General features: G+C 43.6%; 1 protein-coding gene across 4 annotated transcripts in view; it reads right to left on the reverse strand.

Moving 5' to 3' along the window:
• Positions 1–12,001, reverse strand: part of GCK (glucokinase) — a 46,227-nt gene that overhangs the window by 15,755 nt on the left and 18,471 nt on the right. For 2 of the 4 annotated variants that reach the window (NM_033507.3, NM_033508.3), the window contains exon 1: positions 106–315. The exons of the other annotated variants lie outside the window; for them this stretch is intronic. In NM_033507.3, the coding sequence (NP_277042.1) occupies positions 106–153 (48 nt within the window). In that variant the 5' untranslated portion in view covers positions 154–315. Of the gene's footprint in view, positions 1–105; positions 316–12,001 lie in introns of those variants that run through there. 4 annotated transcript variants of the gene reach the window in all.

A 12,001-nucleotide genomic window follows, 5' to 3' on the forward strand; every position in this document is an offset into this window, starting at 1 on the left:
CCTTCCCTGCCCCCAGCCTTAGTTTTGGTAATCTGCAAAACCAAGGGCCCTGCCCTGGGTGCTGCTCTCCCAGTGCAAAGTCCCTAACTTTGGTGTGACCCTTACCAGAGTCAAGGCTGTCTGGGCCTGGCTCCTTGTGACATCCATCGCCATCTCTCCGAGGGGCTAAGAGGTAGATGCTTTGGGAGGCAGAGATGCTCCTGCCTGCTGAGGCCTAGCACATGCTGTAGCCTTGGAGCGTAAGGCCCGCCTGTGGCAGCAACGGCTGCTTGGATGGAGAGCTGCCTGAGGCTGGCAGCCCAGGGCTTCTGCACTGAAAGGGCTCAGCCTGGCGGCTGCTCAAATACTCTGCCCCCTGCCATGGGGTCAGAGGCAGGGCAGAAAGGGAGGGTAGGCCATGTGGGTAACAGTTGACAGGGCCACGGGGACAGAGCCATGGGGCAGCCGGCCACACTCTGTGAACATGGGGTAGGGATTGCTGCCCAGCAGGAGGGGGTGTGCAGAGCCAGCCTACCCATCTTCCATTCCTCAGCCTTGTGCGGGCAGAAAGTCACCAGGCTGCCTTGGCCACAGAACACTTACTGAAATGCCCTTGGACAGGGAGGGGGTCCTAAGGGGGCCTGGCCCGCGCTGGTGCAGGTCTGGACTTGCTCTTGGAGGCAAGGGGATCCCCAGTGGATTTTCATCTGCAGAGAGGTTCGATTTGCATTTCATACAATCCAGGGGTCTGTATGGAACTTGGGGAAGGGGTGGTGGAGGAAGGTGGCCAACTGATCAAAAACAAACAAAAAACAGGGGTATCATTCTTAATTTTGTGACTGCAAAGTCCAGGCCTCAGGCTTGCTTTGGGTGCCTCCATGGGCATAGACCATGACTTCCAGGCTCTGGCCCAGGCCTCTCCTTGGGCTCACCTGGGAGTGACATCCACATGCTATGTACTTGCTGGCACCTGCCAAAGCCTGCTAAAATTAGCTGGAGCTGGCAAGTGGGTCAGGGTATGGAGGGTGCCTTGTCAGAATGCCAGGTCTCTCGCCAATGGCCAGAGTGATCACTCCCAAGAAAGCCCTTGATACAATTGATCCCTTTCCCAATATAGAGCAGAGATGGCCTCATCAGATCTCATGTGACAGGCCACTGACCCCCACAGCCCCCAGCTCTGAGCTACTGTTTGCTCATGGGGGCAGGGCTCACACCCAGGTTTGGAGTGGCACTGGGGCCTTCTGGTTCAGCCAGGCCAAGAAGCAGCCACCCAGCGAGACTTGCCCTTCTTCTGGGCCAAGCACACAGCACAGGGGAGGAGAATCTAAATTCAGTTCTCAAGAAAGGCTGAGGATGTGTACAAAGCCTGAAGCTGAGGCAAGTGGGCCCCCTTTCTTGGTTGACTGAACTGCCAGTGCCCTCTCTAGCCTCTATTTAGAGCAACAGGCATCCCCTAGAGTTCCTTTCTGGGAGCCACCTGCTGATATTCATTGGCATCCATGAGGCCAGAAAGCGGCCCAACACCCCTACTTCCCCACACCGTCTAATTCTCCGGGACCAGATTCTCATGACTCATGCCAGCCCTCCTGGGCACCCACCCTTGTCCTGTCTCAGTGCCTCTTCTTCAGGATAAGGGGTGACACCAACAGTCTGTACTGCACTGGAGTTGAGAGTCATTGTAGCAGGAACAGTTCCTGCTTTCCAGGAATTTTGGAAGGGCAAGACTGTCCAGAACCTGTCCAGAGAAGAGGGGCCAAGAAGGGGAGGGCCTCAGAGATGATGGCTCATGGAGGATGACCAGGACATGCTTAGAGTCTTCAGTAGCTCAAGGGCTGTCCCGAGGAGGATGGATGAACATTGTTTCTGCTTAGAGCTTTCTAAAAAGACAGAACTGTGCAGCTGTGGGCTAGGATGTCTCAGTAGATAGTGAACTCCCCATTTCATGGGGAGAGAAAGACAAGAGCAGAATCAGAAGGGACCTTGCTCTATGTCCCAGTGGTACCCCCATTTCTTAGTTGCTCAGGGTTCTGATTGACAGACATGACTTGATTTTCTTTTTCATTCATCAAAAGAAAATAATATGACAAGTTTGGTGATGGATATTCAAGATGATTAATTCTACTATCAAAAAACGAGACACAACCCACATACCCAACTACAGGAGGTTGGTTAAATAAATTATGCTACACTTACATGTAGTCATTAAAAATGGTAAGATTCATCTGCTCTATTGGCATGGAAAGATGTTCATGACATACTGTTGAAAGGGAATGTGTAGCCGCCCTTGAAGCTGGCCTTCAATTAGCCCTGCTTCTGGTATTCACCCCATGGTATAGTCTCTTCCATGCAGAATAGGTCTAGCCTGTGTAACTAATATGATAATGCAGAAATGGTGGAGTATGACTTTGGAGCCTAAGCCAGAAAAGACCCTGTGGTTTCTGCCTTGTTCTCTCCTGGACTGTTCCCTCTGGGGGAAGCCAACTGCTATGCTATGAGGTTGCCTACAAGAACTCTGGGAAGATCCATTGAGAAGAAGCGAAGTCTCTTGCCAATACGCAACTCCAACTTGCCAGCCATGTGAGTGGACCACTTTGGAAGCAGCTCCTCTGGCCCCAGTCAAGCCTTCAGGTGATGCAGCCCCAGCCAAAACCCTGACCTCAGGAGAGACACCAAGCCAGACCACCCAGCTAAGCTGCTTCTGAATTCTTGACCTACAGAAACTGTGTGAGATAACAAAGGTTTGTTGTTTCAAGCTACTATGGTTTTTTTTAAAAACACTTTATGAAATAAAATTTTGTTATTACAGAACAAATAAGTTTAGAAACCATTTTCTATCTTTTAGCATATGATCCAGATATAAGACAGTGTCATACCACATTCTTGTCATCATAATACACGGAAAGGTGAAGCCACTAAGTTTTGAGGCAGTTTGTTATACAGCAATAGATGACTAACACAGGGGAAGAACAGGAAACATAGTATGATCCATTTTTGTCGTATATACGATATAGATAATATATGTATTGGGAGGAAATATACCAAAATGGTGACAGTAATTATCTTGATGATGGTGGTATGAGGATTTTAATTTATTTTCCTTTTTGCTTATCTGTATTTCCTACCTTTTCTGCAGTAAATGGGTATTAATGGAGTAATATTTAACAATGAAGTTAAAAAAAGAAAGGTTGAGCCTTATCTGCCATTTTGCACAGAAGCAAGCCTGGAGGCCCAGATTCTAAAGGGTAGAGGTTCACAGTTAAATGAGCCAAGCTGCTAGACCCCATATGCCATTGGGAAAGATATTGGGAGCCAGGAAACCAGGGAACCCAAAGTGTCCGCCCTTCCACCACTGGCCTGTTCCCTGATACCCTCAGTACCAGCTGGGCACCAAGTGTGGGCACGCTGATGCAACAGGGCCTGGAGGTCAGCATGATGTTGCAAGTGTTTGCTTACAGCAGGGTAGACTTGAGACCGGCTGTGCTCTTGTGCTAAGGGGCAGGCTAAGGGCCTGGTGAGTGGGAGGGTGTTAGGCAGTGGCTGATGGCCAGGACATCAGGGAAAGAGGCAAGGGGAGAGCCGAGAGACAGCAGAGCATGCCAGGATCAAATGACCACAACTAGTGTGTGCCCTGTGGCTTCCACATGCCAGGGGATGTGCTAGACCCTTTAGATGGATTGAAACTGGCCGATGAGCTGAAGGCTGTCATTTTATATGCAGGGAAACTGAAGCCTATGGGAGTTAAGGGATTTACTAGGATGCAACAGCTATGAGTGACTTGGCTAAGATTCACCCATGGGTCACTCTGACTCCAGGATTGTTAACAGTTTGGTCTTCTTGACTAGATGGGGAGGGCTTCAGGGTCAAGCATATGCTGGGGGACAGGAAATATCCTTTGGGGCTTCTTCCATGCTGGAGATGTTCAGAGGCTTCAGCTGAAGCTGGTGGAGGTGGACACAGTGGTATCCACAGAGGTCAGTTTTGCCCCAGTGTTTGCCTCTGTCAACAGATGGAATGGAGCCTGGGGCTGGGTGTCAGGGATAAAGCCTAAGGCCAGCACTGTTGGGGTTGAAGAGCAGAGCATGAGTAAGGGTGCAGGGAGCAGCCCTGTGCATTGCCTAGGGAGGGGTTAGGAGAATCATCCAAGACTCTGTGCTGAGAGGCAGGATAACACTGGGGTAACACAGAACTGTAGGATCTCCAGCCTGAGTCTGGAGACTGGCTTTGCCACTCACTGGCTCTAGGGCCTCGGGCAAATTCCTTAATGTTTCTAGGCCTCAGTAAGGGGCAGGCAACAATTCTACTACCTCACAGGGCTGTTGAGAGGATTCAATGGGATAATGCAGGTAAGGCTCTTGGCACATACAAGTTGTTCAATAGTTTGTAGCTGTTGTTGCTACCAAAGGATATTTTAGCCCTTGGGTCAGAGTTTAAGACATGGGCTGTCCCCAGCTCTTGATTTACGGCAGATCTAATGCCAAACTCCTACCCCAATGCATACTGATTATTTCTGTGTTTTAAGGAGACAGACTAGGTGGCATAGACTCTTTGATGCTAGTCCTACAGTAAATCAATGAAGCTTTTTGTCTGAAAAGAGTTACTAGGGAATGATCCTCATGAAGCTGGCAACGTAGGAAACTTCAGGAATTGGTTCCTCTATCTAAACAACCAGCAAGTTAGAAAAGAAAAAAATCCTGTAAGAGTCAACTCTTTCAGAATTCTGGAACCTGATTGGACACTTACAGCAACCATGGGAGTGCTCGATGAAGGGAGAGGCATGCTGATGGCTCATAAGTGAGTGGTGTGGGCAAACCAGCTACCATCCTGCATTCTTCAACATTCCTGTGGCCATGTGGACAGTAATTGTGTTCCTAGAGCAGCTGGCTGGAGCAGGAGTGGGCAGAAAGGACCTTGTCTTCCAGAAATTTGGAGAATCAAATTTCTTTTGTTTATCTGGTGGTTCCCTGAGGGCTCAGAGTAGAGCTTGCCTTTGTTTCTGCCCCTTCAGGCAGCAGCAGCCTTCCAGGTGGCATCTATCAGAAGATTTTTAAAAAGGTACATACATGCTAGGTTTTTTGTTTCTTGGGTTTTAAAAAAATCTATGCATTTAAGGAATGCTCTTCCAGGTCATAGGCTGACTGCAGAGGCACCAGAACAGAAACGTCAGTGACCAGACACAAGAGAGAATACATACTTTGCAAAAATCGTTTGGAAAAGTCACTATACAAATGGACAACTGCAGCCCTCAACAAACAACAAAACCAATCTCAAAGGAGGGGGAGAATCTGGCTTCAGAATTACCACATTTTACTACTCAAAATGTTAAGTTTTCAACAAAGTATTACAAAGCAAATAAAGAGGAAGATATGACTCTCTAACAGGACAAAAATAATTTAAAAGAAGCTATCCATAAGGAATTTTAGACATTGGAATTACTAGTCAAAGACATTAAGTCAACTGTCTTAAATATGCTTAATTAACTAAAGAAAACCATGGACAAAGAACTACAGGAAATTGGGAGAGCAATGTATGAACAGATGGGGAATGACAATAAAAAGAATTTATTAAAGAGGAACCAAATAGAAATTCTGGATCTGAAAAGTACAATACTGAAATGAAAAAGTCACTGGAGGGGTTAAATGGCCAATTTGAGCAGGCAGAAGAAATAATCATTGAACTTGAAGAAAAGGCGATTGAAGTTATCCAGTCTGCAGAGCAGAAAAAAAGAAAGAAGAAAAATGAACAGAACCTGAGGGACCAGTAGGATACCATCAGTCATGCCAACTAAGTATACGGGAGCTCCAGAAGAAGAGAGATGGAAAGGGGAAGAAAAAGATATTTGAGAAATGGTGAAATAATTTCCCAGATTTGGTGAAAGACAAACGTACACATCCAAGAAGCTCAATGAAATCCAAGTGGGATAAACTCTAAGAAATTCACACTGAAACACATTATAGTCAAATTGTCAAAAGACAAAGACAGAGAGAGAATCTTGGAAGCAGCAAGAGAGAAATGACACATAGCATACATACCAAGGATTTGCAATAAGTTTAACAGATGATTTCTCATTAGAAACCAAGGAGGCCAAATGGCAGCTGTAATAATAATTACACTTTAGACCAGGCATGGTGGCTCATGCCTCTAATCCCAGCACTTTGGGAGGCCAAGGTGGGTGTATCACTTGAGGTCAGGAGTTCAAGATCAGCCTGACCAACATGGTGAAACCCCGTCTCTACTAAAAATACAAAAATTAGCTGGGCATGGTGGCGGGCACCTGTAATCCCAGCTAACTCGGGAGGCTGAGGCAGGAGAATTGCTTGAACCTGGGAGGCGGAGGTTGCAGTGAGCAGAGATTGCGCCACTGCACTCCAGCCTGAGTGACAGAGGGAGACTCCATCTCAAAATAATAATAATAATAATAATAACACTTTAATAATAATTGAAGTGCTGGGAAAAAAACTATTAACTAAGAATCTTATAGCCAGCAAAACTATTCTTCAAGAATAAAAAAGAAATTAGACATTTCAGATAAAGAAAACCAAAGGGAATTAATTACCGGCAGGCCTGCCCTATAGGAAATGCTAAAGGGAAACATTGAGGCTAAAATGAAAAGACACTAAGTAGTAATTCAAAGACATCTGAAGACATAAAAATACACTGTTAAATGTCACTATATAGGTAAATATAACAGCAAATATTAATGTAGTTTTTCTTTGTGATTCTTGTTTTCCTGTATGATTTAAAAGGCAAATGCAGAAAATAATAATAAGTTTATGTTAGTGAGGATATAATGTATAAAAACATAATTTGTGGGAATAACAATATAAAGGAAGAAGGATGGAGATATATAGGAGTAGAGTGTTCATGTACTATTGGAACTATTATTCAAACTAGCTTCTTATAAGTGTAAGATGTTAATTGCCATCCTCAAGGCAATCATTAGGAAAATAACTAAAAAATATGAGAAAAGGAAAGTGACACAGGATTTTTTCCTTGGTCACTTTGCAAGCCAGGGACCTTGGTGATGCCCTGCCCAGGCCTCACTTGGCCATGCTACCTGCTGTGGGAGATGGCCCACTAACCCGTGCTGCCCAGACCAAGTCTGGCTTGTGCACTGGTTCCCGAGTTCTTGTACCACACCCAAGAAAAATGAGGATACGCTGACAATCAAAGAGGGAGCAAGGTGAGAGTTTCATTGAGTGATGAAAACAGCTTTCAGCAGAGAAGGGATACAGAGGTGGTCCCCCTACCTGAAGTTGGCAAAGTGCCCCCAATGTGGCTGATTCCAGGGCTTTTATGGGCTCAGAATGGGGGAGGGGCAGGCCATAGGTAGTATTGGAAAAGGCAACATTCGATTGGTTAAAAGGGATTATTTAGAGGGCAGGCAAACAGGAATGGAAGTTCTCACTCTGGATCATGGGTTTCATCTGGGACCAGCAGTCCGGTCTTTCAGCCTTCAGGCTATTTTTTGGCTTGAAGGTGGGGTTTCATGGGGGACAAGCTTCTATCTGCCAGGCATTTGGCTGCCTCCTGCCGCTATCAAAAGGAGAAAATAATCAAAATGTAACAACACAGACACAAAATCAAGAAGTAAAAAAAAAAATCCAGTAATGGAGGAATTGAGAAACTTAAAAATGTATAAGACACACAGAAAAAAAATAGCTGAGTGGTAGAAGTAAGTCCTTCCTAATCAGTAATTATTTTATATATAAATAGATTAAACTCCAGTTAAAAGGCAGATATTGGCAGAGTGAATAAAGAGAACATTATCCACCTATATGCTATCTACAAGAGGCTCACTTTAGATATAAAGATAGAAGAATTTTAAAGTAGAAGGATGGAAGAAGATATTCTATGAAAATAACAACCAATATGAGAGTTGTGGTGGCTGTATTATCAGCCCAAATAGATTTTAAGTTAAAAAAAAAAGTCTCAAGAGACAAAGAACATTATATGTTGATAAAAGTTTTCATCCATTAAGAAGATATAAAAATTATAAAGAACAGAACACCAAAATACATGAAACAAAATTTTGCAACATTGAAGGGAGAAATAGAGTTCTACAATAGTAGTTGGAGACTTTAGTACACTACTTTGTTTTTTGTTTTTGTTTTTGTTGTTTCTCGAGACAGAGTCTTGCTCTGTTGCCCAGGCTGCAGTGCAATGGTGCGATCTCAGCTCACTGCAACTTCTGCCTCCTGGGTTCAAGTGATTCTCCTGCCTTGGCCTCCTGAGTAGCTGGGATTACAGGCGTGTGCCACCATGTCCAGCAAATTTTTTGTATTTTCAGTAGAGACGGAGTTTCACCATGTTGGCCAGGCTGGTCTCAACCTCCTGACATTGTGATCCACCCTCCTCGGCCTCCCAAAGTGCTGGGATTACAGGTGTGAGCCACCGTGCCCGGCCACTACTTTGAATAATGGATTAAACAACTAGACAGAAGATCAATAAGGAAAGAGAGGACTAGAACAATACTCTAAACCAATTAGACCTAACAGACATATACAGAACACTCTGTCCAACAACAGCAGAATGTGCATTTTTCTCAAATGTGCATGGAAATTCTCAAGGATATTTTAGTCACAAAACAAGTCTTAGTAAATGTAAAAAAATTGAAATCATATAAAGTATCTTTTTGGATCACATGAAATAAAACTAGAAGAGAATAACAGAGGGAAAACTGGAAAACTCACAGATATATAAAATTTAATCAAGACACTTTTAAATGACTCTCAATTGCAGGGAGGGGGAGAGAAAGAACTCAGATTATTAAAATCAGGAATGAAAAAATGAAAGAGTGAACGTTATTACTGACTTTAGAGAAAAAAAGGACTATGAGAGAATACTATGAACAATTTAGTATTGTTTGTTGGCTTACCCAAGTTAGATAAAATGGAACTTTAACTTAGGTAAACTTGGATAACTTAGATGAAATAGAAAAATTCCACACATGAGCTACTACAACTAGCTCAAGAAGAAACAGAAAATCTCATTAGACTAATAACAAGTAAGGAAATGGAATTAGTACTAAAAAACCTCCCAACAAAGAAAATCCCAGGACCAGATGTCTACACTGGTAATTCTACCAACCATTTAAAGAAGAATTAACACCAATTCTCTCAAATTCTTCCAAAAAATAAAAGAGGAAGTAACACTTCCTGATTGATCTCATGAGGCCAGCATTGCCTTGATACTGAAACCAGACAAAGATACTACAAGAAGAAAAACTACAGAGTAATATTTCTTGTGAATATAGATGCAAAATCCTCAACAAAATACCAGCAAATAAAATTCTTCAGTATTAAAAAATTTGTTTTTAGTGATGAGGTCTTACTTTGTTGCTCAGGCTGGAGTGCAGTGGTGCAATCATGGCTCACTGCAGCCTCAACCTCCTGGGCTCAAACAATCCTCCTGCCTCAGCCTCCTGAGTAGCTAGGACTAAAGGTGCACAACCACCACATCAAGCTAATTTTCTTTCTTTTCTTTTCTTTCTTTCTTTCTTTTCTTTTTTTTTTTTTTGAGACGGAGATTTGCTCTTGTTGCCCAGGCTGGAGTGCAATGGCATGATCTTGGCTCGCTGCAACCTCCGTCTCCCAGGTTCAAGTGATTTTCCTGCCTCAGCCTCCTGAGTAGCTGGGATTACAGGCATGTGCCACCACGCCTGGCTAATTCTGTATTTTCAGTAGAGACGGGGTTTTTCTATGTTGGTCAGGCTGGTCTAGAACTCCCGACCTCAGGTGATCTGCCTGCCTCGGCCACCCAAAGTGCTGGGATTACAGGCGTGAGCCACCATGCCCAGCGGTAATTTTCAATTTTTTGTAGAGATGGGATCTTGTTTACTTGCCCAGGCTCTTCTAAAACTCCTGATTTCAGGTGATCCTCCCACACCAGCCTCCCAAAGTGTTGGAATTACAGGCATGAGCCATGGCACTTAGCCTCTTCAGCATATCTTCAGGTTATGGTTATGGATTATACACCATAACCAAGTGAAATTTATCCCAGGAACACAAGAATAGTTCAACATGCAAAAATTAATGTAATGTACTACAATAATGGAATAAAACAAAGAAACTACATGGTCATATTGATTGATGCAGAAAAAGCATCTGACAAAACTCAACACCCTGTCATCATTGAAACAAGAAGAAAATTTCCTCAACATGATAAATGTCATATATGAAAACCCCATAGCTAACGTCATATTTAATGGCAAAAGACTTAAACTTTCTTCCTAAGAGAGGAGCAAGACAAGAATACCCACTTTTGCCACTTCTTTTCAACATAGTAGTGGAGCAATTAGGGAAGACATTTCTAACCAAAGCAATTAGGGAAGAAAAATAAATAAAAGGTATCCATACTGGAAAGTGCTATGGAAAGAATGTGTCCCCTCAAAATTCATATATTAAATCTGCTGTGTGATGATATTAAGAGGTGGGGCCTTAGAAGGTGCTAGGTCATGAGGGTAGAGCCCACATAAAAAGAAAAAGAGCCCTTATAAAAAGAATACCGGAGGACAGGCACGGTGGCTCATGCCTGTAATCCCAGCACTTTGGGAGGCCAAGGTGGGCAGATCACGAGGTCAAGAGATCGAGACCATCCTGGCCAACATGGTGAAACCCTGTCTCTACTAAAAATACAAAAAGTAGCTGGACATGGTGATGGGTACCTGTAATCCCAGCTACTCAGGAGGCTGAGGCAGGAGAATCGTTTGAACCAGGGAGTCAGAGGTTGCAATGAGCCGAGATTGTGCCACTGCACTCCAGCCTGGTGACAGAGTGAGACTCTGTCTCAAAAAATCAAACAAAAACAACAAAACAAACAAACAAACAAAAAGGAATCCCAGAGAGCTACCTTGCCTTTTCCACCATGTGAGGACACAGCTAGAAGGTGCCATGTATGAACCAGAAAGCAGGCCTTCATCAGACAGTGAATTAGCTTGGGCCTTGATCTTGGACTTCTCAGCCTCCAATTTATGGCATTTTGTTACAGCAGCCCAAATGGACTAAGATAGAAAGAAGGAAATAGAACTATCTTTATTTCAGATGACATGATCTTATGTAGATAACCATAAATAATCTCCCAAAATATTTGAGCTAATATCTGAGATCAAATTGAGCTAATAAGCTAATTCAGCAAAGTTGCAGCACACAAATATCAACACACAAAAATCAGGGTTTTTTTATACCTTAGCAACAAATAACCCAAACAGGAAATTAAGAAACAATTACGTGAAATTAGGGAACACTTCACACCGTCATTTAGGAATCCAGGCTTCTACTTTATGGCTCCACCCACTCCCTAAAGCCTCATCATTATCTGCAGCTAGCCTACGGAAAGGTGAGAAAGAACATGAAGAAGCCACCCTCTTCTTAGGAGCCTACACCTGGAAATGGAAATGGTATATGTTGCTCCACTGAAATTGCATGGAGACATCTCACTGCGAGGGAGGCTGAGAACTACAGAACAGCTGGCCAGCTGTTGCTGGCATTGTCCTCACTGTGGACAAAGAGGACATGGGTTTGGGTCTAGAGCTAGCAACCTCTGCTATGTTCCCTGGATTCCTAAATGACTGTGTGGAGGAGAACCTCCCAGCTGATGAAGAACTGCACTTGACTATTATATGGGCAAGAAATACAATTCTACTATGTAACTGTATTTCACGTTTTGCTGTATTGGTTACTGCAGTGAAGTGTTCCCTAGTAACTACTCAGAATGATGGTATCAATGACCAAAAATATGTTGGAAGGGGATACCGGATCACTCATTATTCAATGTTTCTTGAGAACCTAATTTGTGCTCAGTCTGAAGTTAGAAAAGTGATTAGTTTTTAGTTTCCAAGGAGCTTACCATCTAGCAGAAGAGACAAATGAACAGCTCAATACAACCAGATACCAGCAAAGCTATGTCTTTGGGGACATAAGGAGACTGATAGGTTTCGTTTTGTTTTGTTTTCTGAAGGCAAAAGAGCAGGATTTCTTTGATGCACTAGGGGGAACTGGCCAAGAAGGGAAGGATATTCCAGATA

This window comes from Homo sapiens, chromosome 7 (genome assembly GCF_000001405.40).
Source record: "Homo sapiens chromosome 7, GRCh38.p14 Primary Assembly".
Taxonomy (NCBI): Eukaryota; Metazoa; Chordata; class Mammalia; order Primates; family Hominidae; genus Homo; species Homo sapiens.